General features: G+C 53.5%; 1 protein-coding gene across 8 annotated transcripts in view, besides 13 other annotated features; it reads right to left on the reverse strand.

Moving 5' to 3' along the window:
* The window catches only part of SH3PXD2A (SH3 and PX domains 2A), a 261,550-nt gene that overhangs the window by 92,548 nt on the left and 143,665 nt on the right, over window positions 1-25,337 (reverse strand). For 4 of the 8 annotated variants that reach the window (NM_001394021.1, NM_001394018.1, NM_001394019.1 and 1 more), the window contains exon 1: window positions 6,454-6,598. In NM_001394021.1, coding sequence (NP_001380950.1) covers window positions 6,454-6,511 — 58 coding nt within the window. In that variant the 5' untranslated portion in view covers window positions 6,512-6,598. Of the gene's footprint in view, window positions 1-6,453; window positions 6,599-6,759; window positions 6,905-25,337 lie in introns of those variants that run through there. The other 4 variants (NM_001394020.1, NM_001394022.1, NM_014631.3 and 1 more) reach the window with 2 other exon arrangements.
* Window positions 47-96: an enhancer, noted in NCBI's record as "active region_3970". NCBI's record gives its function as "activates an Ori minimal core promoter by ATAC-STARR-seq in GM12878 lymphoblastoid cells {active_cell/tissue: GM12878}" and the evidence as "EXISTENCE:reporter gene assay evidence [ECO:0000049][PMID:35858748]".
* Window positions 5,320-5,379: an enhancer, noted in NCBI's record as "active region_3971". NCBI's record gives its function as "activates an Ori minimal core promoter by ATAC-STARR-seq in GM12878 lymphoblastoid cells {active_cell/tissue: GM12878}" and the evidence as "EXISTENCE:reporter gene assay evidence [ECO:0000049][PMID:35858748]".
* Window positions 5,620-6,586: an enhancer, noted in NCBI's record as "H3K4me1 hESC enhancer chr10:105451952-105452918 (GRCh37/hg19 assembly coordinates)". NCBI's record gives its function as "activates a minimal SCP1, AML or CMV promoter by ChIP-STARR-seq in primed H9 embryonic stem cells {active_cell/tissue: H9 hESC(primed)}" and the evidence as "EXISTENCE:reporter gene assay evidence [ECO:0000049][PMID:30033119]".
* Window positions 5,620-6,719: a biological region, named in NCBI's record as "H3K4me1 hESC enhancer GRCh37_chr10:105451952-105452918".
* Window positions 5,740-5,899: a silencer, noted in NCBI's record as "silent region_2786". NCBI's record gives its function as "represses an Ori minimal core promoter by ATAC-STARR-seq in GM12878 lymphoblastoid cells {active_cell/tissue: GM12878}" and the evidence as "EXISTENCE:reporter gene assay evidence [ECO:0000049][PMID:35858748]".
* Window positions 6,470-6,719: a silencer, noted in NCBI's record as "silent region_2787". NCBI's record gives its function as "represses an Ori minimal core promoter by ATAC-STARR-seq in GM12878 lymphoblastoid cells {active_cell/tissue: GM12878}" and the evidence as "EXISTENCE:reporter gene assay evidence [ECO:0000049][PMID:35858748]".
* Window positions 9,136-9,882: an enhancer, noted in NCBI's record as "H3K27ac-H3K4me1 hESC enhancer chr10:105455468-105456214 (GRCh37/hg19 assembly coordinates)". NCBI's record gives its function as "activates a minimal SCP1, AML or CMV promoter by ChIP-STARR-seq in naive H9 embryonic stem cells {active_cell/tissue: H9 hESC(naive)}" and the evidence as "EXISTENCE:reporter gene assay evidence [ECO:0000049][PMID:30033119]".
* Window positions 9,447-9,556: an enhancer, noted in NCBI's record as "active region_3972". NCBI's record gives its function as "activates an Ori minimal core promoter by ATAC-STARR-seq in GM12878 lymphoblastoid cells {active_cell/tissue: GM12878}" and the evidence as "EXISTENCE:reporter gene assay evidence [ECO:0000049][PMID:35858748]".
* Window positions 9,767-9,826: a silencer, noted in NCBI's record as "silent region_2788". NCBI's record gives its function as "represses an Ori minimal core promoter by ATAC-STARR-seq in GM12878 lymphoblastoid cells {active_cell/tissue: GM12878}" and the evidence as "EXISTENCE:reporter gene assay evidence [ECO:0000049][PMID:35858748]".
* Window positions 9,992-10,136: an enhancer, noted in NCBI's record as "145 bp enhancer 292 fragment used in the MPRA reporter construct; PK_construct_3458". NCBI's record gives its function as "activates an SV40 promoter by MPRA in K562 cells {active_cell/tissue: K562}" and the evidence as "EXISTENCE:reporter gene assay evidence [ECO:0000049][PMID:23512712]".
* Window positions 10,059-10,069: a transcriptional cis regulatory region, noted in NCBI's record as "NFE2L2 motif; enhancer activity is reduced when this motif is scrambled". NCBI's record gives its function as "necessary for full MPRA enhancer 292 activity {active_cell/tissue: K562}" and the evidence as "EXISTENCE:site-directed mutagenesis evidence [ECO:0005528][PMID:23512712]".
* Window positions 21,103-22,082: an enhancer, noted in NCBI's record as "H3K27ac-H3K4me1 hESC enhancer chr10:105467435-105468414 (GRCh37/hg19 assembly coordinates)". NCBI's record gives its function as "activates a minimal SCP1, AML or CMV promoter by ChIP-STARR-seq in naive H9 embryonic stem cells {active_cell/tissue: H9 hESC(naive)}" and the evidence as "EXISTENCE:reporter gene assay evidence [ECO:0000049][PMID:30033119]".
* Window positions 22,083-23,061: an enhancer, noted in NCBI's record as "H3K27ac-H3K4me1 hESC enhancer chr10:105468415-105469393 (GRCh37/hg19 assembly coordinates)". NCBI's record gives its function as "activates a minimal SCP1, AML or CMV promoter by ChIP-STARR-seq in naive H9 embryonic stem cells {active_cell/tissue: H9 hESC(naive)}" and the evidence as "EXISTENCE:reporter gene assay evidence [ECO:0000049][PMID:30033119]".

Here is a 25,337-nt window from a genome sequence, read left to right on the forward strand (position 1 = left end):
CCCTCAAAGGGCATCACCTCCTTGAACCCTGTGCACTTTGGGGCAAGCCAGGTCGCTGCTACTATAACAACCCCATTTGACAGGTATGATGGTCAGGTGGTACACATCAACCTGGCTAAGCTACTGTCCCCAGTTATGCAATCACACACTAATTTAGGTGTTGCTGGGGAATTTTTTTTTTTTTTTTTTTTGAGACAGAGCCTCGCTCTGTTGCCCAAGCTGGAGTGCAATGGCATGATCTCGGCTCACTGCAACCTCCACCTCCTGGGTTCAAGATTCTCCCTGCCTCAGCCTCCTCAGTAGCTGGGATTACAAGCACCCGCCACCACGTCCAGCTAATTTTTTGTATTTTTAGTAGAGACGGGGTTTTGCCATGTTGGCCAGGCTGGTCTCAAACTCCTGACCTCAGGTGATCCACCTGCCTCGGTCTCCCAAAGTGCTGGGATTACAGGCATGAGCCACTGCGCCTGGTTGGGAATGTATTTTTATAGTTATTAAAGACCATGACCGGATGACTTTAAGTAAGGGAAATTATCTAAAACACTCTGGGTGGGCCTGAGTCAGTAGCTGAAAGGCCTTCAGCAGAGTGAAGGTTTCCCTGAAGACATTTCATCTGCGGACAGCAGCTCCAGCCTGGGCCTGGGGGTCCAGCCTGCCCCCTTTCATGACCTGCCATAGGATTTCAGACTTACCTAGCCAGCCCCCACAATTGTGTAAGCTAGTTCCTTACACTACATCGCTTAATATATACCTCCCACTCGTTCTGTTCCTTTAGTTGAACCCTGGCTGATACAACAGAACAGGTGAGATAATCTGTTCTCAGAGGCGAAGGGATTTGCCCAAGTCACATGACTGGCAAGTTGTCGGCCTAAGAGTGGGACCCCAGGCAACCTGATGCAGTTGTTTCCCAGCTCCCACACAAACTCTCCCTTGAGGCCCACATCCAATCATCAGAGTCTGTCCAACACCCGCAGTGCCTTGCCCCCTCCACTGCTGCCAGAGCCCACATCCTATCTCACCTGGCTAGCAGCCCCCTGCGACCTTGCACATCATAACCCATCCTGCCTAGTCAATCCCCATCATTCTATGATTGAAGCCAGATCATGTCCCTGCCTCTACTTAGAACCCCTCAGTGAATCTTCATCTCACTCGATGAAAGTCAAAATCCTTAGAATGTCCTGCAAGGCCCTACATGGTGCTGCTTCACCCTATTCCCTCCCCACTGCCAGCTACATCTCTGCTCTCACCTCTTTCCACTTTACCCTCCACTATTCTTCATCCCAGCCACAGGCCTCCCTACTGCATCATGAGCAGCCAGCACACACCGTCACCCCAGGGCCTTTGCACTTGCTGTGCCCTTGGCCTGGACTGCTCTTCCTCAGGTAACCATGTTGCTCCCTCACTTCCCTCCATCTAATAGTACATTCTTCTATATAGCTCATCACCCACAGCAGACTGCAAACTTCTCTAGGGTAGAAAGGCACGTTCCTATAGCCTCGACACCTTGCGCAGTGCTTGGCATAGTTGATGCTCAGTTAGGTCAGTCTCCCAACAAGCCACACTTAGTCCTATCCCTCTACCTTTGTGCATGTGCTCTCTCTGGATTACCAAAGCCTCCCGCTCTCTGCTCCCAAACCAGAAAAATGTCTCCTCTTTCCAGGCAATGATCCCCAATTTAAAGCCACAATGACCTTTCTTTCCTGAGCCTGCACAAGGTTCACTCATTCATGCATGCTTTCTTCCATCCACCCACCCATTCAAAAAGTACCAGTGGACCCTGGGGCTGGTGCAAGCCCTGCAGCCAAGGTCTTTGCTCTTGAGGTGGTGGGAGACAGAGAAGAAGCAAGCAAACACACAGGATCACTAGAGTGTGGGAAGCGATGAGGAGGGAAGAAGAGGAGTAATCTGCGGGGGAGGCTGGACAGTGCAGGATCAGGCAGCTTCGCTAAGAAGGTGACAGTTTTAAGCAGAAATCTTAAGGAGCCAGCCATGTGAAAGATCAGGGAAGAACATTACAGGCAAGAGGGAAGAGCAAGTACAAAGGCCACGTAGAAGAATGTGTTTGATGCGTTTAAGGAGCAGAAGGTGACTGGTGTGGCTGAGCAGTGTGATGGGCGGGGACAAGAGGGGTAAAGCCCAGGTCAGGAAGGCAGCCAGGGGCCAAGTCACACAAGCTCTGTGAGCCAGGGTAGGGAATTAGTTCTGGGTGGGATGGAGTCCCTGGGGGAATTTAAGCAGGAAAGTATGTTATTTTCTTTCTTTCTTTCCCTTCTTCCCTCCCTCCCTCCTTCCTTCCTATTTATTTATTTAGAGATAGGGTCTCTCTCTGTTGCCCAGGCTGTAGTGCAGTGGCACAATTATGCCTCACTGCAACCTCAAACTTCTGGGTTCAAGTGATCCTCCCACCTTAGCCACTTGAGTAGCTGGGACTACAGGCCTGCACCACTACATCCGGCTAATTTATTATTTTTATTTTTTTGGTAGAGAGAGGATCTTGCTTTGTTGCCCAGGCTGGTCTCGAACTCCTAGGCTCAAGTGATCTTCTTGCCTTGGCCTCCCAAAGTGTTGGGATTACAGGAGTGAGCCACTGCACCCAGCTGATCAATATTTTTTAAGAGCTCACTCTAGCTGTGGTGTGGAGAATGTCAGATAGAGGTCTAATAGAGAAGCAGTGAGACCAGGTAGGAAGGTGGGGTCTTCCTGGAGAGATGAAGGGGTTTCTAAGGCATGTGATGGTGGAGGTGGGGAGACAGTTGGTTCTGCAGCTCGAGTTGGCAGGTAAAAGACAAGAGTCAAGAATGACTTCTCAGCCAGGCACAGTAGCTCACGCCTGTCATCCCAGCACTTTGGGAGGCTGAGATGGGTGGATCACTTAAGGTCAGGAGTTCGAGACCAGCCTGGCCAAAATGGTGAAACCTTGTCTCTACTAAAACTGCAAAAATTAGCCAGGTGTGGTGGCAGGTGCCTGTAATCCCAGCTACTCGGGAGGCTGAGGCAAGAGAACCACTTGAACCCAGGAGGCGGAGGTTGCAGTGAGCTAAGGTCATGCCACTGCACTCCAGCCTGGGCAACAGGGGAGAATCTGTCTCAAAGAAACAAAAAACAAAAAACGAGTGACTTCTAGATGTTGGGCTTGAGCAATGGGGTGGATGGTGCCAGTTCCTGAGATGGGGAAGATGCTGGAAGGAGCAGGTTCAATAGAGGGAAGAAAGATGCAGATAAATTTGAGGCCAAACTGTCCTTCAGTTTTCAAGGTCACCAGCCTTGCTTCCTCCAGAAAGTTCCTGAGAACTTTCTTCTTCTGTTGACTCCACCATCCCTAAGCCTTGCCTCAAGTCTAAGCTCTATGCTCAGTAAGAGATTTACAGTGAACCCCAGAATGGCATCCATTTCCTCTGCGCAAATGTCCCTGGCTGGAGTGACCCTGGGAAGCTTCGTGAGGTTCATTATAGAGCAGAACAGAGCCCTAAACATGGACTCCAATCCTCAGTTTGCCAAGGACTGTGTGTGGGCAGTCACCCCATCGGAGCCTCAGCTTCTCATTTGCAAAATGGGAATCCCACCACCCATCATGTACTGTGGCTCTGATCAGCAAATGAGGAAACGTGAAAATGTCCTCGCACATAGTAGATGCTCATTCGATAACAGCATCTAGCACTTCCAGGGGAGCTTTCTAGGTGGCAGGCAGTGTTCTAAACATGCTTACATATATTAGTTTATCTAATCTTCGTTATAACCATATGAGGTGTGTATTAGTCAGTGTTCTCCAGAGAAACAGAACCAATGGGAGGTGCATAGAGAGCTTGAAGACAGAGGGAGATTTATTTTAGGAACTGGCTTATGTGATTGTGGAGGTTTGAGAGTCCAAAATGTGATGGGGGAGGCCGGCAGAGACTAAGGGAAGAGCTGCAGCTGAGTCCAAAGGCAGCTGCTGGCAGAACTCCTCCTTGCTGAGGGAGGGTGTGTGTGTGTCAGTCTTTGTTCCATTAAGAGGCCTTCAACCAATTGGATGAGGCTAGCCTGCATTATGGAGAGTAATCTGCTTTACTCAAAATCCACTGATTTATTTAAATATGAATCTCACCTAGAAAACACCTTTGCAGAAACATCTAGAATAATGCTTGACCAAATATCTGGGCACTGTGGCCCAGCCAAGTTGACACATAATAAACCATCACAAAATGGGTATGAATATTATCCCAAATGTACAGAAGAAGTAATGGGCACAGAGAGGCTAAGAAATCTACCCAAGGTCACAGAGGAGAGAAGCCAGACTCTCAACTCCAGCTGTCTGGCTTCAGAGCTGGCATTTTCAACCATGACACTAAGTGGCCATTATCATAAGCACACCAATATAAATTAAATTTCTCCATCCATCCTTTTCCTGGCGTGAGAGTGGAAGACAGAGAAACTGGGGGTTGGCTTTCCCTGGGGGAGGCAGCCTGGGTGTGGCCCTGCATTGCTTAGGAAGCAGCACAGAAGCTGAGCCCCAGAGATTGTGGCGGGGGACCTGAGAGGTTATTTGTTCCAGCTCTTGCCTTTATGGGGGTAACTGAGGCCCAGCATAGAGAAGGAATTTGCCCAAGGTCACATAGGGAGAAAAGTGGCAATGGAGGCAGGACTAGGTCCCAGGCCTTCAGAAAGTGCTACTGCTGCTGCTGCTGAGAACTGATACTTGTACAGTAGTTATTCGGTGCCAGGACTATTCCACATTAACATACTTAATCCTCTATGTGTGAGGCAGATAACATTAGCATTTTTGTTTTAAAGAAAATGAGGAAACTGAGGCACAGAGAAGTTATGAAACTTGCCTAAGGTCACACAGAGCCAGAATTTGAGCCCAGGTTCAACCAGGACACTATACGTCTGAGGCCCAGGGCAAGCTTCCTGTGTGGGCGGTGACAGAACACAACCCCCATTTTGCTGCGCCTTCCATTCTCCCACTTGAGACCTGCCTGGAGTGACAGTGGAGGAATGCTCTTCCCCAGGCTCACCCCACGGTTCACAGGAGGAAATGGCCTTCTGCACCAGTGGGTGTGCCTGCCTGAGACACCCCAGACCCAGGTGATAGGCAAGTGCACACACACCTCATCCCACAGCTAGACATGTCCCAAACTGGTACACAAATACACACAAACACAGACTCCAACCCATAACCAGATATATCTCAACCACACACACACCCCCAGCCTATGCACCCAAACAAGTAAACATACCCTCACAGCACACAGCTATCATGACTCACACATGTGCACAGAACCCCACAGCCACACACGCCCCCAACACATAAACCAGGACACAACTTTCCCTGTCCCAATAGGCACGTGAGCAAGCACTTGTACACACAGAAACATACATATCATACAATTACATCTACCCCACTCTACATCCATCCACCACACAGGGGCACTCCCCTCAACCTATCCACAGGCCAAGGCACTTGGGCACAGGAGCCATTCACAGGAGCCACGTGTTACCTCCTACATCCCCAAGGGCCAGATGTACCCCAAGGTACAGCCACCCTGTCAATATGGCCAATCCACGTGTCAGCACGGATCGCTGCAGCAGTCTGTCCCCGCCCCCACTTCAGCACACACACAGCCCTAACTCCTAGGGACCACTCTCCCCCAGTTAACTACAGCCCGCCCACATCCAGGCGTTTGCCATTTGGGGAGCCCAGCCTCCCACTTCCAGAGACAATCCTGCTCTACCCTCAGCCCACAGCTCCGAGGGCTGGCCCGCCTCTCTCCCTGCCTCCACCCCCTTCCAAACTCTGGGCGGGCCCTGGCACCTGTCAGGCCAATGCGGGGGGCGGGGAGGGGGTTGGGGGGGTCGGGTCGGCCCCCTCCCAAGTGCGTCTCAGCTGCCAAAACGCGGAGCCCCCACCTCCGCAGCAAGGACACGCTCAGAGTTGGGGCAGGGAAGAAGGTCTGTGGTGCAGGCGCTAAAAACTCAAGTCACTCAAGGATGACCCCTTTTCAGTCCCGGTTCTCAATTTCACCTTCTCGCAGGAAAGCCCCGCGTCTCTATTAACCCTTCCATCACCGCTGCACCGCGAGAGGGACCGGAGAAGTCTTAGCACTGCGCAGCAGCGGCCGCCGCAGCCCGGGGGTGAAGGACCCGGCTGCTCACCGTGCGGGGGCCTAGCCCCTTCACGAGCCACCCACGCACTCCCCATGCACCCACCCCCACACCCACTAGGGACAGCGAGGTAGCGGGAGCCCGAGCGAGTCGGTGGAAGGCGAACGAGGGTTCTAGGACCAAGGGTCTCAGGGGCCATGGACTGAGGAGGGGCAAGTGAAGCGAGTACCCCTGGCCCGGCAGGACCCGTAGGCTGGCGTGCAAGGACAACCCCCCCCTCCCCGCCCCCAAGAAGTCCTCTGCAGGATCGGAGGGGCGCGTGCACGAAGCGGGAAGGAAGGCTGAAGGGAAAACGCCCGGAGGCTCCCTTACCTGATTTCCTCTTGGAACTGCCATAGTCCCTGAAAAAGAAGCAACAACAGATAGACATGGTTAGGGCCGGGCGCGAGCGCGGGGCTGCAGCTGCAGGGGCGCCCTCGGGCTGGCTGCGGTCGGTCCCCGGTGCCGCTGCTCATGTGATGCCCACGGCCGGCTAGCCGCGCGCTCCGCAGCCGCACGCACTGCGCGCCGCGCCCGCCCGCCCGCCCGCCCGCGGGCCCCCTGCCAGCCCGGCCCCCAGGCGCGATTCGCCCGCCCCGCCCCGCCCCGCCCCAGCCCGCCCCGCTAACTGGGGCTCACCTTCCCTAAGCCTTGGCGGGGAAGGGCGAGGCAGGTTCTCCTCACTTCCCAAACTGGGAAACTGACGCTCCGGGATGGCGCTCGCCGGAACCCGGCCCCTACCCAGCGCTGGGAGCCCGCTCTCCCCGCCACCGGAGCGGTTCACCTCCCAATTCTTTGCATGGCTTGCCCTAGCGATGCAAAGAATTGGGAGGTGAACCCAGCCTACTCAGCCCGTAAGTCACTACTGAAATGTCACCTCCTCAACGTGTCTTCCTCAAAACCACCCGCCAGGTAATCACAGATTTGTGTGATCCTTTGATTAAAGTCTGCCCCTGTCCTAGACCCGAGACTCGCTGGGGGCCACTGTGGCTGCTTCCTCTCACTGCACGCCCCGAGAATGGCAGAGGCCATGGATAAGGTCCTTCTCAAAGGCTACAGCTGGGGAGTCGGGGTGAGGAGCGGGTAGTGGGGGGGACAGAGGATACTGCAAGGTTAACTGGGAGGCCAGGAACGGTAGGAACGGAAGTGGAGCTTCTGAGGAAGTGGGTTCAAATGCTGTCAGAGAAAGTAACTGCTGTGACCTTAGGCACTGCACCCTCCCAGCCTCCGTTTACCTGCCCTGCCCTCCAGCAAAGAGTCCAGACTCAAAGATGGGCAGATTTCCCAAATCCTGCCCTTGCTCCTGCCTTCCTTATCTCCCCACTCCTCCCACCCCCCTCCATTCACCAATCCTCAGGGGACTGGGAAAGGTGAGCTGGCTCCCTTAACCTGAGCCTCACATGCCCCTAAAGGCTGAAAGTTCTGTTCAGTGCTCAGGGAACAGTGGAGGGGCTGGCTGGGGCTCTCTCCGGAGTCCGAAGGAAATGCCTTCCATTTTCCCCAGGGGCCAAAGAAAATGCCAGTTGCTGCCCATCTTTGGTCGAAGCAAACTAGCCCGCTAGTCTGCCACTGGAAAGGCGGGGTTGGGGGTTTGGGGGGATGCGGTGGAAGGGGGTTCTCTTGGAGGAAGAGGCAGCAGGCTCCCAGGGAAAGGAGCAGAGTCATCCTCATGGAGGCTCCCCAAGATTCCAATCCAGGAGGTCTAGGGGTGCCCTCCAACATTGGAGTGTTTATTAATCTCCAAGGTGATTTGCCTGCACAGCCAGGAGTGGGGAGCTCCCCCTCTCCTAGGCATCGACCTTTCCCAAAACTTAGAACCCACTTAATCAGAATGCTGGGGGCAAGGTCCAGGAAATCTGCATTTCTGACTCTCTCCCCTTCCTTCCCCATCTTGTTTGAGAACCCCCTTGGTATTCCATGTCTCCTTCAATCCTCTCACCCACACTAAGAGGAAGGTCCTATCATCCTAATCCATTTTATAGATTAGGAAACAGAGGTTCAGCCATTGCCGAAGGTTGCCCAATCTGGGGAAGGGCTGTGGTTTATAAGCCCACTGGAAGGAATAAAAACTGCAGCGTGGATGGTGTGGAGGAGAATCTGGGAAACCGTTGCCTTGGAAAGGGACTACAGAAAGGTGGGAGAGCTTCCATTTGCCCCCTCCCCTGGCTCCCACCAGTCAGTCCAGGGAAGGCCTTAACAAAGGCATGCTTGCCCCCCTTGCAGAAGGAAGACTGGGCAGAGACTGAGTCCTAGCTGTGCCCCCCAAAAGCTCAACTGTGCAGGGAATTCCTGAGAGGAGGAGGAGAGTATTAGATCGTAGCTGTGTCCTGCCCAGAAGACTTTCCACTCCCAAGGAGGAAATTAGCTTTTCAGGCCTTTTCACTGAGGGCTACTGGGGAAGGGCAGGGAGTGAGGGCACTGAGGAGCTACCCTCTGCTGTCCCACAATTTTCCTGCTGGTCCTGGCAGGAGAAGCCCAGGACTGATGGCCCACTGACCATCCCCCTGGCTGCCAGTAGCCCAGGCAGGGGTGGCTGCCTCACAGGAATGGCTGCCTTCTCCAGCTCTGAGCAGGTTGAGGCTACCCAGGCTGTTCCTATGAGACAGGGAGTTTGAGACCAGCCTAGGCAACATAGTGAGACCCCCTATCTCTACCAAAAATAAATTAGCTAGGCATGGTAGCAAGCACTTGTACTCCCAGCCACAAGGGAGGCTGAGGTGGGAGGATTGCTTGAAGCCCAGGAGGTCAAGACTGCAGTGGGCTGTGGTGGTGCCACTGCACTCCAGCCTGAGTGACAAGTGAGACTCTGTCTCAAAAAGAAAAAAAAAAAAAAAAGAGTGGGGAAGACACAAAACTCACATGCTTGGAGGGCCTCCTTTGTGCCAGGCCCTGGTTGGTGATTCTCAGCCTGCTATTCAATGGAATCATCTAGAAAGTGGTTAAAATTCAGATGCAGGGCCCCACCCCAACCTACTGCATGGTCTGCATCTCCAACAAACTCCCCTGGGGATTCTGAGGCTGCTCCAGTGTTGCATAATCTCCATCAGGCCTCCAGCCACCCCTAAGAAACATTTATGCTCAGTAAGAACAACGTGCTTGTAGTGCTGAAGGAGCCTCTAGAAAATATCTCTTGGCCTGCCTGTCCTTCAGCCAGAGTTCAGAGTCCTCCCCACCGAGGACTTCCGGGTCCCTCCCTGCAGGGGGTGTGGGCTCTCCTCTTGCAGGTGAGAAGACCAAAGCTTAGAGAAGCCGGACAACTTCCTCAAGGCCATAGTGAGTGGGTGAGACCAGGACTGGGGACCAGAAAACCCAGGCCTTGCTCTGAGGCTCAAGACAAATGCCCACTTACCACCCCTTCCTGGAGTAGTGGATGCAGGAGTAGAAGGCAGAGCCCAGAGGGCCTGATCAGCACATGGGGTTAATGGGGTGGAGGCTGAGGTCCTGGCAGTGGGGGTCACCAGGCTGTGACTGAATGGTGGGAACGAAGAGGAATCCTGAATCCTTCAGGGTGTCTGGCCTGCCCGAGCAGGCGCTGCCCTAATAGGAGACCTTCTGGAAGTTTCCAGTTGGGCATCCTTTAGCAAAGCCATTTCATATTTTTAGCTGCTGAATAGGGTGATAAGCAGTTTAGGTATCCAGTGGCTGGGACTCTCCCATCCCTCACATACGAGGGCAAGACGCAAAGGCAGGGATCCCCCTTCACACCATGACCACTTCCCACTGCCCTATAACCAGTTCCAGTCTGGCAGGACAGCAGGGCCCTCTGCTGGGGCTCAGTTCCCTAACAACTCAAGAACCCCCCCTCTTCCCATCAGTCCCCTTCTCCAATCCACACTCCGTCCTTGCTCCAAGTCTTGCCCTGAGCTGGTGCTGACAGCCCCCACCCTGCCGGTGACTCCACTCCTGGTAGGTCACAGTCTAGCCTGCTTCCGACTTGCTGCTGAATCATATCGGCCAGGGAGCCACAGGAAGAAGAGGAGGGGAGGAAGGGCGGGGCTAGCATCTCCCTCTAGCGTTGCCAGAGGCTAATGTAATTGAAAAGGCCTCCCAAGCTGTGTCCTAAAACAGCTCCCATCAGACCACTCAGCCATTCATTCTCTGCAGCTGGTCCAGGGGTGACTCAAACCACAGGTACAGTGACCCACAGTCCCAGGAAAACAGGGACATGGGACTTTCAGGGCTCAAACTGGACAAACTGGGATGGGTGATCTCCTGTGGTCCACAGGTCTGGCCTGGCTGGGAAAGAGGGGTGGAGTTCCTCCAACCAGCACTCCATCCCTCCCCATCTAAACAAGGACTCCTGGGGCCTCTACTCCCACCCCGCCCCATCCCCGGGTGATACGGTTCCTCTCTTGGCCCCTCCCCATAGGATGATGCAAGCTATGTTTGGATGAGCAGGTTCTGGAGACGGAGGCCTCCAGTTCAAATCCCTGCTGCTTGCAGTGGGGGCAGGGGGGTGCCCTTGATCTACTTTCTTGGCCTCTTGAGCCTCTACTTCTCTATCTGTAGAACGAGGACAATAATAGCACCAAACCCCTGGGGTTTGGGGAAGATGCAATGTACAGTGTGTAGAAAGGGCTTCGCACAGTGGCCGGCACAGAAACTGCTATAAATTGTCTTTGTTGTTATTCTTTCATACCTGGGCCCATCTGACCCACCTCAGTTGCTACACAGGTGGCAAAGACCTGTTTAAACCTGGGTCCTACAGAGCCCCTGAAACAAAAGGAGCTTCTCCTTAAGGACCTCACCACGATGCTGGCAGACAGTGCCAGGCAGGTGTGATTCCAGCCCCACTTTCAGAGTTTTGGGCTTTCGCAAATGCCAGAACAACCACTGGTCTCTGTCTAGCGCCGAGCACCAGGAAGTGTGTTCATCCCTGACCCACAGGAATGGACGCACGCCTCTGGACCCCTCTATTAGGACACATTTAACCTCCCAAGGAGTGGCCAACTCTCAGAGCCCCAAAACCAAGAGATGTAAAGGGCTTGCATTTTTATGCTAATGTAGACCCGAAAGGGTTTTTCTTTTTTCCTTTCATTTTATCTTGGCCAGACACGCTGTGCTCCCTCCCCGGATGCTCTAGTGAAATGGCTGGTGTTGGAGACTGCACAGGGAGAGGCTGGTGGGGGCAGGAAAGGCACTGAACAATTCACATGTGTTGTTCCCCTGTTTTGACACATGGCTCCCCACACTCTGCCTTCCCCTTGAAAACTCCCAGGATTTATTCTTTGGTGTTCTGAAGTAGGCAGAGCAGGTGCTCACCCATTTCATGGATGAGGAGATTGAGGTCTGAGGCTTCAGTGGCTGGCCCAGGCTCCTGAAGCTAAACAGACAGCCCTGACCCACAATGCTCCAAAGGGGCCACGCTGAGGCCCACTAGGGATTTGGCCACAAGGAGAGGTCACACCAGCAGCGGGCAGCAGGCCCTCGCTGGGGAATGGAGATTGCCATCCTGCCGTTCAGAGTTCCCAGAGTGAGAGGTGAAGCCAGGAAGAGCCACTGAGGCACGGGAGAGAGAGGAAAGGGGGCTGGGCCTGGCTGGGCCGGCTCTGTGGAAGGGTGCTGAGTACCTGCCAGGTGGAGTTCTGCTGAATGCTGCAGGGTTGTACCCTCCACTGCCCGCCACACCCCTCACCACTCTCCCTCCCACTGGCAAGTGCCTTGGCAGAGAAGGACACACACACAAACTTCCAGCCTGATGTTCTCACCCTTCTGTCTGCCAGCTGACATTGGCTGCTGGGCCCAGGATGCCTGTCTGCGGGGCCTACAGCCACTGGGAACTGCTCAAGAGGCCGGCTGGGCTGCCAGACAGCTGACTTGGGGGTGACCTTCAGAGCCCAGCAGTCACTGGGGACATGGGCACTATCTAGAATATGAGGGCTGGAGAAGATGCAACCTTGGCCAGGGGAGTGACGTGGGGCTCTTGAGGTACATAATGATTTTGACTGCTGTTATCAACCTAAAAGCACTTTTTAAGCTCTCGCTGTAGGCAACCTCATTAAGGCCTGTGCAGGCAGGCAGAAGAGATATATGTGACATAAGTCCAACGAGAAAGCCAACATTCTCAGACAATCCACGCTGAGAATTACAGGAGGGGTTACACTCAGTGCAGAGAAAAGAGAGGTCCTGGGGGCTACAGAACATCCCAGGTAGCTTCCTGGAGGAGGAGGCCTTAAAGGACAAGGGGGTTTGGATCCATAGAGGGATGCAGGGGGAAAGCTCTACAAGCAGGAGCAAGCAGCTCCAAACAGTTGTGGACTGGGCAGTGAGGGTAGTGGGTGGACGGGCCAGGAAAGGCAAGGCTGAGCAGGGCTTTGATGTCTGGCTGTGAAATCCAGAAGTTTGCAGAATTGGGGAGTGATTTGGTCAGATCCTGGCTGGAGGAAAATTTTGTTAAGAGGAGAGGTTGACAGCTGGGGGTTGGGGGCAGGAGAGGGGCTGTCAAAGTCCAGTGCTGAATGTCCACAGACCCGGGTTCTGGGCCCAGCTCTGCCCCCTCAGGGGCTGGTGACCCTGGACAAGCCACTTCAAACTAGTGCTTTTCAAATGACAGGCAGTGACCCATTAGTGAGTTTCAGAATCAATTTAATGGTCCCAATGAGCATTTTAAGAAGAACAGACTAGAAATGATCAGCGAGTCACCCCTGGCAAGGCTGTTTTGTGGCACCTGCATCAGATGTCTGTCTGCGTATCGAGCTGCAGTGTGATATTTCCCACTGTGGCAGGAGCCCTCGGATTCCCCAGTCCTAACAGGAGGCTACTCTGAGTGTCCTCACAGGGCTATTGTGAGAATTCGAATTATCTGTGAAACCTCCATAGTGAGATGGAGCATGTTCTTCCAGAAACCAAGTGAGGAAGGTCTGAGCAAAGGGCTGGGCGAAGGGGCTTTGGGTCACTGAGGTCTGGAGAGTTGGGGTTTTTTTTCCACCCCTTAGCCCCTAGCTGGGTTTTTGTTCTGGCTTTTGAGAGCCTTTGCACGGAATGGCCTCCAGAGGCAGCAACCTCCAGGCAAGACAGACAGAGGGGCCTGCAGGCCATTCTCTGCCCCCATTTGCTCCCTGATCTAAATCGTGGCACTGAGGGCCCTTGTGTTTAACAAGAATCTGTCCTTTCTCCGCAGGGCCTGTGTTTTCCAGGGTTCTGAGAATGGACCCCATTGTGACCATGTGGCTTGTCCAGAGGGGCCGGAATTCCTGCCCTGGGTGAAAAAGCTGAATTCCTGCGGAGAGAAGGGGTCTTGGGGCTCCCCAGGCTGCATCCCAGAGAGGCCAGATGCTATGGCCATCATAGACCCCAGAACCCCGCCCCCCAGGCATTTTGTCTCCTGAACATCCCAGAGGGTCTCTGCTGCTGCCCTGTCCACAGCAAAAGAACAAAGCACTGTCTGTCTGTCTCCTCTGACTTGTTCCACTATTCTGGGCAAAGGCCCTAAGTGTGTCTTCAGCCACAGGACAAGTTTTACCATGTCCAGGCCTCAGAGCAGGGAGTTAAAAGGGCAGGTGGGTTAGAACCCTGGTTCAGCCACCTAGTGCTTTGTGATATAAACAAGTGACTTCACCTCTCTGTACCTTCGGTTGTAAAAGGGGGTTAAAATAGTTGCTATCTTACAGAGCTGTCGTGGGGATTACATGGGATAATGTGCAAAGCTCTTAAATGGCATCTGGCCCATGGAAAGGACCCGTAGCCCAATAGCCTGGGTTCACAGGGGGCTAGACTAGGAGTGTGGATGGTGGCCGCAATGCAGGAGGTGCTGACTGCCTACCTTCTCAGTGTGGCCTGTGTGAGACCCTGGCTCTGTCACTCAGGGCACTGATGCAGGACCATGATGACAGACAGGCCTGGGTTCCCATCAGGTGCATTCCAAGGAGTCCCACCTAGATGGTGACACTGAGCAGCAGTCCATGGGAGTGGGAGGAGGCAGGGTTAGGGGAAGTGGGGAGGATGGCAGGAATACACAGTTGATTTCTTAGAGGGCAAAATGGGGCAGGGGATTGCCAGTTCAGCCCACTGCCATGGAGTGCTAGGAGCTCCTCCTCAGGCCACCTGAGATCCTGCTCCCTGTGTAAATGCCAGACTGTTCTTGGCTATGGGGGTTCCCTGGACTTCCAGGGGCTACATGCCAGACCTAGGGAACCATGGGAGGGGGAGTGACAAAATGGGGTGATGGGGTTCAACAATGAAGTCCCTGAGGAGAAGGTCAAGGAGGATATCCTATATTTAAAGACCTTCCCTGACTCTCTCCAAGTCCATCCATCATCCATCCATCCATCCATCCACCATCCATCCATCCATCATCCATTTACCATCTATCCATCTATCCATCCACCATCCATCCATCCATCCATCCACCATCCATCCATCCATCCATCATCCATCCATCCATCCATCATCCATTTACCATCTATCCATCTACCATCCAGCCATCCATCATCCATCCATCATCCATCCACTATCCATCCATCCATCCATCCATCCATCCATCCACCATCCATCCATCCATCCATCATCCATTTACCATCTATCCATCTACCATCCAGCCATCCATCATCCATCCATCATCCATCCACCATCCATCCATCATCTATCCATTCATCCATCCATCATCCATCCATTCATCCATCCATCATCCATCCATTCATCCATCCATCCATCCACCATCCACCCATCATCTATCCATTCATCCATCCATCATCCATCCATCATCCATCCATCCACCATCCATCCATCCACCATCCATCCACCATCTATCCATTCATCCATCCATCATCCATCCATCATCCATCCATCATCCATCCATCATCCATCCATTCATCCATCCATCCATCATCCATCCATCCACCATCCATCCATCCACTACCCATCCATCATCTATCCATTCATCCATCCATCATCCATCCATCATGCATCCATCATCCATCCATCATCCATCCATCCACCATCCATCCATCATCTATCCATCCATCCACCATCCATCCATCATCCATCCATCCATCATTCATCCAGCCATCCATCCATCCATCATTTATCCATCCATCATTCATCCAGCCATCCATCCGTCCATCATCCATCCAGCCATCCATCCACCATCCATCATCCATCCATCTATCTTCATCCAGTCATCCATCTGTCCATCATCTATCTACCATCTATCCATCCACCATCCATTTACCATCTATCCATCTATCATCCATCCATCCATCCACCATCCAGCCATCTATCATCCAACCACCATCCATCCATCCTTCATCCAGCCATCCATCATCTATCTACCATCCATCCAACATCCATCCACCATCCATCCATCCATCCATCTATCCATCCACCATCATCCATCCACCATCCATCATCCATCTATCCATCCACCATCATCCATCCATCTATCCATCATCCATCCACCTATCATCCAGCCATCCATCCATCATCCATCCATCATTCATCTACCATTCACCCATCATCCATTCACCATCCATCCACCATCCATCCATCCATCATTCATCCACCATCCATCCACATCTTGACTGAAGGTCTGTTGTAGACCCAGTCTTGTGTATGAAGTAAGAGAGTGGCAGAAGACACACTGTCCTGCCCTCTTTTTCATTTTTTTGTCCATCTAGCTGGAAAGAGATGGCAAACACCCACGAAAAGACAACATACAAGTTCCCTTGTGATCAGGTGCCCCAAAGCTTGGTCAAAGGAAACACTGTATAGAAATTTCCAGGACAGGGAGATCAGAGTGGTCTGGGGTGGTCAGGGAGGGCTATGTGGAAGATGGGGCACTAGAGCTAGCCCTTGAAAGATGAAGACTGTTTAAAAAGAGCAGAAGCAGGAAGGAGATTTGGGGTGGAAGGGATGGTGTGAGCAACGGTGCAGGGGCAGGAACAGATGTAAGCCTGTGTGTGTGCGTGTGTGTGTGTGTGTGCATGCTGGGTGCGGAGGGCAAGAAGGCTGTATGTCTTGGGGGAGCAGGACAGGCAGCTGGGGCTGGACTGAGCCCCAGAGGAAGCAGCTCAGATTTTAGAAGGAAGTTGCTGAGAACAACCCAGCGGCAGTATTCCTAAAGAGAGATTCTCCCTGAAGGCTGTGGCACCAGCTCTGTGCCTGAGGATCACATTTCTAGCTCCTTCTGGTTTCCCTTGTTCAGGTGGTGGGGTGAGGACTTGTGTCGGGGGAGCCAGAGGACTGCTTTGCCCCTCAAGCTACACTGGCCCCATCTGCAGACATGTGCCTGGTCTCTGTGTCACGTGTGTGTATGGGTGTGTGTGACACACGGGCAGATACCAGGGCCCCACTGCAGAGCACAGACCTCTTGGGTCGATCCTTGGCTGATGGCCCCTAACTCCCCAGCCCTGGCCTAGTTTCGACCTGAGACTGGGAGCTTGGGCCAAGGAGCTCCCTATTTCCCATGGAGGCCAAGGAGCCCACCCAAAGTCAGGCTGTGCTTGTTTCTGCCTTGGCCTCTGTGGGAAAGAGGACTCGGAGGGCCCCACACTCCTCCCACACACCTAGCCCACCTGCATGGCCCTGGGAGGCCCGGGTGATCGCCTCTTACAGTGAAGGAACCTGAACCTCCCAGACTTTCCTAGACACCATGTGACAAACCCACAAGCACCAAGCAGCCAGATGTGCCCAGCCCAACAGAGGCAGCTGCGTTAGCCCCATTTTACAGATGCACCTCAGTCAGCTTAAGTCACTTGCCTGGTGTCACACAGCTTGCAATGGGAGGCAAGGCTGCAGACTCGGTTGTCTGTGCTGCAACCACCACAGGCCCCCTCCTGCCCTGCCTAGTGTTTCACAACTTTCAAGGCCTAAGGAAGGGGCACCTCCTCCAGAAAGCCCACTCTGATTTTGACCCCCAATAGCACTGAATGTTCCAATTCTGTCCCCAACAGTGGTGCCCTCAAAGGAGCTGTCCAGTAGAATTCTCCGGGGTAATGGAAATAGTCTCTATCTGTCCTGTCCAGTATGGTACCACTGGCCACAGTGGCGCTGAGCACTCAAACACTGAATTGTGACCAGTATGACTCAAACACTGAATTTTTCATTTTGTTTAATTAAGACTTAGATTTAAAGAGCCACCGTGGCTACTGGCTACTTTATTGGACAGTACAGTCCAGACTCTGACATGGTATGGCCAGAAGGTTTGCTTGGCTCCCATGGTGCGTGTGTGCATGTGTGTGTATGTGTCTCTCTGTGTGTGTGTAGCTGCCTAGGTTCAAATCCCAGCTCTGCCAGACAGATTATTTAGGGTCTCTGTCTTCATTTATAAAGTGCAGAGACTGAAATGATCCACCTAATTGGATTGCTGGGGGATAAACAAGTTAATACACATAAAGTCCCCCGTGCACAGTCAGGCTCAGTAACAGGGAGCGCATACACAGATCCTCCACCTGCTCCAGCTCCACCTGCCAGTCACAGGGCCCTGCTGCCAGCACTGGTTCACCCTCGAGAGGGGAGAGGGAGGGACTCTGGAAGAGCTGTGACTTGCAGGGGAAATGACAGAACCACCTGGGACAGAATGGGCTTGGCCAAAGGAGGGCACTGAGAGAAGGAGCCAGGAAGGTGGGGGCGGTGGCCACTGGAGGAGGAGCAGCATGGGAAGAAGCAGGGACACGGGCCTGGCTGGCCTCAGGGGGAGGGGGGAGCAAGGCTTGGGGTGTCTGTACAGAGATGAAGAAACCCAGGCTCTGCAGGGTAAAGCCACTTTGCTGAGACCACACTGGTGGCTGGTGGCTGGCAGCACTGGGGGTGGCAGAGCTGGGGACTTCCAGGTCCATCTGAATGACTGTTATCACTTTCACATTCCCCCAGAATCCCTTGCTGCTGCCAGGCTGACGGGTCTCCCCAGAGGCGACAGGAGTGACAGCCAAGTCTGGATCCCCCTCGATGCTGGACCAAGAGGCTGACTTAATGAGCCTGTTCCACAGAGGGCAGTGGCTGCCATGCTCCTCACAGCAGGCACTCAAAACGCAGGACAAACGGGCTCCTGGCCAAGGGCCTGTGTGCCCAGGGATGGGTGGCTCCTGGGCTAGCCTGGGTGCAGGGCGGCCTGGGGGCTTCCCCAGGGTCTGCCAGAGCATACATGTAAAGGACGGGGTCTAGGGAGGAGTCCTGTAAGATGCCAAACCAGGGCCATCCCAGCCTGTGAGGCCCGAGACATGGGTTCCAGGCCTGGCTGTCTGAGCAGGCAGCATGACCTGGGTGGTGGCAGCCCTCTCTGTGCCTTAGTTTCCCTGATTGGGCTTTTGCAAAGAGGCCTCCAGCTCCAGGCTCACAGGACAAGCCTGTGTCCTGCTTGTAGCAGGGGGGCCATCCAGGAACCCTAGGTAATACCTAGGTAATACCTCCATGCTCCCAGCCTTCTCCAGCTGCCTTCCTGTCAACCCTGAATGCTCCTGGGCCAGCTCAGCTGCAACTACAGTGAGGGCCCTGCCTGCTCACCAGCCTGTCCACTACAGGTCCCAGCAGGCCAGCCGTGGGCCGCCACCTCCATCCTCCACCAAGCAACCTCTCCTGAGCTTCTACACCAAGGTAAAGCCCCCGAGGTCCCGGAGCAGGCTTGTGCCCATGAACCCCAAAGTATGGTGGCAAACAGGGGGAGGGAAGGGCGGGCGTGGGCCAGGCCTTGGTGGGAGTCACCACTGAGCAGTTCTCCCCACCGTGAGTGAGCTCTTCTTACCCAAAGGTGGGAGTGGTAGTGCTGCTCTTATTATTATTAATACTATTATTGACAAGAGCACTACATTTGTCAAGCATTTACATTATGCCAGGTGCTAAACTAAACCCTTGACACACATCAGCTCATTTTATCCTCACTACATGCCTGTGTGGCAGAGTCCCTTACTATCCCCATTTTACAGATGAGAAATGGAGGATCAGAGAGAGCATGTGACTTGCCCAAAGTAACACAGCTTGTGAGGGATACAGATGGGATTGGAGGCCAACCTGGCTCAGTCTAGTGCTCAAATCCTAACCACCACACTGTTCATTTACCACCTTGTGGCTAAGAAGGACACATAAAATCCAGACAGAAAAGCTAAATGAGGAGTAGGTGGTGAAGAGAAAGGTAAAACGAAGGCAAAGACTCAGGGTCAGAAATACCCAAATGACCAGCCTGGCCAACATGGTGAAACCCTGTCTACTAAAAATACAAAAATTAGCTGGGTGTGGTGGTGTGCACCAGTAATCCCAGCTACTCAGGAGGCTGAGGCAGGAGAATCGCTTGAACCTGGGAGGTGGAGGTTGCAGTGAGAGCCAAGATCGTGCCACTGCACTCCAGCCTGGGTGACAGAGCAAGACTCTGTCTCAAAAAGAAAAAAAAAAAAAAAGAAAGAAAGAAATACCCAAATGACATCACTGAGTTCTAGACTCTTCCTTAGGGAGGTCACAACTTCAGGGCTGGCATGAGAATGTCCAACAGGAAGAAACCTGGCTGGTGACCCGCACAGTGGGTCACAGTGTCACAGCGTCCATGACCACATGCTCAAGAGATGCACTGTGGTTTCCGATGGTGATGGAGCATCCCCTCTAGAGCACCTGCAGCTGTCAAGCTTCCTGGGCTGCCTCCTGGTGGTTCTGCCGCTGGTGTGGCTGCTCAGTGGGTCAGTGGCTGGACTGGAGGAGCCTGAGGATGGCCTGGCCTCACCAGGGCTGGTTTTACAGCCTCCTCTCAGCAGAGGTTTTTTAAGTTCTGGGGGCAGTGATGCCGGACCAATGCTGTCCTGGGCCCCAGCTCCCAGCCTAATACACTTTCTGGCACCCCCCCAAACCTTGTTCTAGCAGAGCACTGGATTATTTTCCTGTGTGGCTGTCACCATTGCCTTTATATTTTTGCCATTGCCTTGTTTGTTGTCTATTTCTTCCCCTCAACAGTAGGCTCCCTGAGAGCAGGAACTGTGTGTGTCTTGCCAGGCCCAGCACAGGGCTGGTTATAATCGTGTTTCCTGAATAAATGCACGAATTCCCTGACAACCAGTAACCAAGCTCAGGGCTGCCGGATGGTCTCAAGAGGCTGGTCAGACGCTGCTAACACCATCCCGAGCATCCTCCACCTGTTCTCAATCCCTGCCTGGCAGGATAGGCAGACCCTGCATCTCTGCTCTCCCCTCCTTTCCCCCCCGAGTAGAGCTCAGTGGAAGTGCCACTTCCTCCAGGAGGTCATCCCTGATTGTCACAGATGGGTCAGCAAGTGCAGACAGTACATTTCCTGCCTATTTATGAGGACGGAATGGCAGCAGCCCGCGGCCTCCTGTGCTCCGTCCTCTGTGACATCACCTTGGTTGTCATGGAAACCACCCTGGCATCACAGTGGAGCCTGGATGCTCTTGCTAATGTCCTGCACTATTGCCTCACGTGTGTCTCTCTCCTCTGGCAGTTGGACTACAGTGTCTATGGCCTCCTTCACCCCTCTCCCTGACAGGGCTAAAGTCTGAAAACAGAGTCTTGTACCTAGGAAGTGATACTCCCTGGGTGCTTACTATGTGCTAGCCATGGCACTATATATTTCAATTTTTTTTTTTTTTTGAGATGGAGTCTAGCTCTGTTGCCCAAGCTGGAGTGCAGAGGTGCGATCTTGGCTCACTGCAACCTCCGCCTCCGGGTTCAAGTGATTCTCCTGCCTCAGCCTCCAAGTAGTTGGGATTACAGATGCCCGCCAGCCATGCCCAGCTAATTTTTGTATTTTTAGTAGAGATAGGGGTTTCACTGTGTTGGGCAGGCTGGTCTCGAACTCCTGACCTCGTGATCTGCCTGCCTCAGCCTCCCAAGGTGCTGGGATTATAGGCGTGAGCCACCGCGCCAGGCTGTATTTCAATATTTTTAAATTAAAAAACATTTTTTTAGAGACAGGGTCTTGCTATGTTGCCTAGGCTCATCTTGAACTCCTGGCCTCAAGCAATTCTCCTGCCTCAGCCTCCCAAAGTGCTGGAATTACAGGTGTGAACCACCCGGCCCAGCTGCTCACTGTACTTCATGTACATTATTTCAGTTAATCCTTGTAGCCACCCACCAAGAAGAAGATGCTATCATTACTCCCATGTCCCAGAAGAGGAAGCTGAGGCATAGTCAGTTAAGTCACTAGCCCAGTGGCAGAGCTGGGATTTGACTCCAGTGCCAGCTGACTCCTAACCATCGTGAGCTTTTGTGTGTGTCTCTCTCTACCTTCCTACCCTCCTGCCCTCCTCTGCTGGGAAATCTCCAAGCCTGCACTCAAGGTCACCCTGGCCCAGGCTGTCTCCCTCTCCTTTTGCCTCCAAACCCTCCCTCAGCACCCAAGTTCACTTGGAGGCCCAGCTCCCTGGCAGCCTTCCCTGCACACCCACAGCCCCCACAGTCTCTCTCCCTTTCCAGTGTCCTCCTGCGCTCCTGGCTTGAGCACCTGTGTGGGACCTGCCTGGCCTCCTTAAGCTCAATGACTGTCTCTGGTACCCTGATCTGGCTCTTCTGGAACAAGGGACACATGAGCCTGGCCTCCTCCCTGCAGGCCTTCCTGATAACCTTTGTTGGCGCCGACCTCAGGCCTTGAGTGAATCACAGTCCTGTCTCCACACTCGTTACAGAAACTCAGCTAGTGACAAAGGGCCTCAGCTCGGGTCCCCAAGCTGGGGTGGGTGGTGGTGGGGACTTCCTGACCTTCCCTGCGGCTGCCAGGCTCTTTCCTCTGGTTCCTGCAGCACCAACCAGTGGCTCCCTCAGTGGGAGGTTGGAGCCCAGGCCTCCCCAGGAGAAGGGCACCAGGAAACCCCAGGCAGTCACCCTAAGCACAGTAGGAAACACAGGCTTTTTGGACAGCTCCCTCCGGCTATGTCTGGGGATGGCCTGGAGGGAGGGAAAAGGGGTGCATGAATGCCCCAGCACCCCTGCCCCCAGGGAACAGCCTGCAGCCAGGTGCCAGTCCCTGCGAGATGAAGCTCGTTGACACTGCGCTTGGCAGCCTTGTCTTCCCTGCCCTGTGTCACCTTACTGATGCCTTCTAGTGTCACCTCCAAACTGCTTGAGCCGCAATCCTCAGCCTCAGATCTGCTTCTGGGAAATTCCAAACCAAGATGCCTGAATTTCCTTGAATTATTTCCTGTCTTGGGCAGCACAAAGTGTCCCCTGCTCGTGCCTATTAAGATCCTCGTGGCTGCCAGGACCTAGCACCGTGCCCAGCACATGAGGGGGCCAGCATGGGGATAATGCATGTCCCCCATCCACTGGCTCCTGAGGCAACACTGCAGTTCTCCAGGGGTCTCAGACCAGGTGACAGGCTCATGGGTGCCCTCTCCTGCTTGGGGTGGGGGCCAGGAAGAGGTGCCCCTGGCAATTAACCTTCAATTCCCTGGCTTGCAGGCACAGCCTGGTCTAAGCTGCAGCCTGCCTCTGCCAAATTAAATCAGACCTGGCCACAGCCAAGCTCCTGCCTCTGAGCCATTCAGAGGAGCCAGTCCCTTCTCCCTGTCCATCAGCCAGGCTCCTACTGGGATCTTCTCAAGGGCTCAACTCAGGCCTCCAGGCACCCTCCCAGGCACCGCACCAGGGATGCTCCAAATGCTCCAAGCCTGGGGTTGCTCTTGAAATCGGCTGGGAAAGTTCTGAGAGCCAGAAAGAGCACTGGACTTGGAGCCAAAAATCCTGGTGCTAATCCAGTTTCTCTGACCTCAGGCAACCATTTCCCTTCTCTGGACTGCACAACCTGCAAAGGCTGGGCTGGATGATGTCTGGGGAACTGAGCTCCAAAGCCTGGGACCAGGGGCAAACCCTCCCACCTTGCCTCTCACTGGGACACAGCAAGGATGGAAGGAGAGGCTGCTCCGATGACTCCAGAAACTGCAAACCCACGTAGCTGAGAGATGAGTCGTGTTTTGTGGGCGCTAATGAGCCAGCCTCTGGCACAGCCCCTTCGGCAACAACAATAGTAACAACTGGTACCATTCATTAAGACTGCATGCTGGGCAGCATGCTAAGCCCTTGCCAAGCTTCATTGAGGGGTAGGATAGGTAAGAGGTTCTAGCCCATATTTGCCAGTTATTGGCGTTGCAAGTCACATGACCTCTCTGTGCTTCAGTGGCTTAATCTGCAAACTAGGGGGAAATGACAACTATACCCACTTCATAGGATGGATGCAAAAATTAGAGAATTAAAACATGTAGGCTGGCCGGGCAAGGTGGCTCATGCCTATAATCCCAGCACTTTGGGAAGCCAAGGTGGGTGGATCACCTGAGGTCAGGAGTTCGAGACCAGTGTGACCAACATGGCAAAACCTTGTCTCTACTAAAAATATGAGCATGGGGGTGGACACCTGTAATCCCAGCTACTTGGGAGGCTGAGGCAGGAGAGTCACTTGGACCCGGGAGGCGGAGGTTGCAGTGAGCTGAGATCATGCCACTGCACTCCAGCCTGGGTGACAGAGCAAGACTCCATCTCAAAAAAAAAAAAAGTCCTCTGGGCACAGTAGCTCACACCTGTAATCCCAGCACTTTGGGAGGCCAAGGTGGGTGGATCACCTGAGCTCGGGAGTTTGAGACCAGCCTGGGCAACATAGCAAAACCCTGCCTTTGCCAAAAATACAAAAAATTAGCTGGGCATCACCTGTAGTTGGGAGGCTGAGGCAGGAGAATCGCTTGAGCCTGGGAGGTGAAGGTTGCAGTGAGTCGAGATCGCACCATTGCACTCCAACCTGGGTGACAGAGTGAGACCCCATCTCAAAAAATAATAATAATTTAAAAAATGTAAATCGCTTAGAAGAATGTCATCACATGGTGAGATACAGTAATTGAGCTATTATTAGCTTTCTAGACCTCATAGTAACCCTATGCTGCCACTTCTATGGTCCCTATTTTACTCCTGGGGGAACATAAGGCCCACAGACAGTCATCCTCTCCATTTATTGCATTTACTGTGTCCATCCTTCAGCTAGCACGAGGGATATGGTAGATGCCTGGCAGTAATGTCCCGGCCCTCAGGGTGTGTGCAGCCTCTCAGGGAAGCCGGATGTTAAGGATTTAATTACCTCTGTGGTATATGCCACAAGTGAGACGTCCCAGTATTGGGGTGAGAGGTGGGGATGGCAGGCCCAGGTGTGGTGAGTAAGTGGTGAGTTTAGGTGGGGTTAAAAGATTGCCTGGGAGGCCAAGGCAGGAGGATGGCTTGAGTCCAGGAGTTCAAGACCAGCCTCAACAACATAGCAAGACCCAATGTCTACAAAAAATTTAAAAAATAGTGGGGCACGGTGGCATGTGCCAGTAGTCCTAGTTACTCGGGAGGCTGAGGCAGGAGGATTGCTTGAGCCCAGCAGTTTGAAGCTACAGTGAGCTGTGATGGTGCCACTGCACTCCAGGACTGGGAGAGAGACAGAGACCTTGTCTCTAAAAATAATAATAAAAAACGGTTGCCCCACCTGGCACATAGCTGGTGGGGGGCTGAACCAGGATCTGAAGTTACACCTGTGAGTCCAAGGCCACCTCCCTTAACAGCTCTGCCACCTTCCTTCCCAGGAGCATCCCAAGAGGGAAAAATGATTATAAAAAGCCAAGCTGATAATCAGCTCCTCATGCACTTTCTGCTAAACAGCTGAGCTGCCAGAACACCTGGAATTTCCCTGGGTAGAAAGTTGGGCATCATTGTGGTGCAGCCTCTTGGCCTGTTGCCTGCACCTACTGGCCTTCTAAGAAGTTTGGGGGGAAGTAAGCATTGCATTTGAGGTGGCCTTCCCACTGACCTGGGGCACGTAACTACCTGGGGTTGGGGATGAAGTTCAAAGTGAACACCCAGCTGGGCCACTGGAATCAATACGCAGGGAACGTGCCCACTGAGATGAACACCCTCCCCCTTCACCCTGGGCGCCAACTCAGTGGTTAGTCCACCTCAGAGCTGCACCGGGAGGGCCAGGCAGACCTCGTCCCCGGGCTACTGAGCAATCTGTGCAAGGGCAGCGTAGCAGCTGGAACTACCAGAGGGCCCAGAAATGACAGCAGCAGCAAGTGGGGCAGAGACTCAGTCCCTGGGAACAGGCATGTCCTCCCCTCACACAGGAGCAGAGGGAAGGGATACCAACAGGTCTCCAAAACCTGGAGTTTGGAAGAATATAAAATGTCCCTCTGGTGGCCAGGCATGGCAGCTCACACCTCTAATCCTGGCACGTTGGGAAGCCGAGGCGGGAGGATCGTTTGAAGCCAAGAATTTGCGACTAGCAGGGGCAACAGAGCCAGACCCCGTCTCTACAAAAAATAAAAATAAAAAAA

This window comes from Homo sapiens, chromosome 10 (genome assembly GCF_000001405.40).
Source record: "Homo sapiens chromosome 10, GRCh38.p14 Primary Assembly".
NCBI classification, from domain to species: Eukaryota; Metazoa; Chordata; class Mammalia; order Primates; family Hominidae; genus Homo; species Homo sapiens.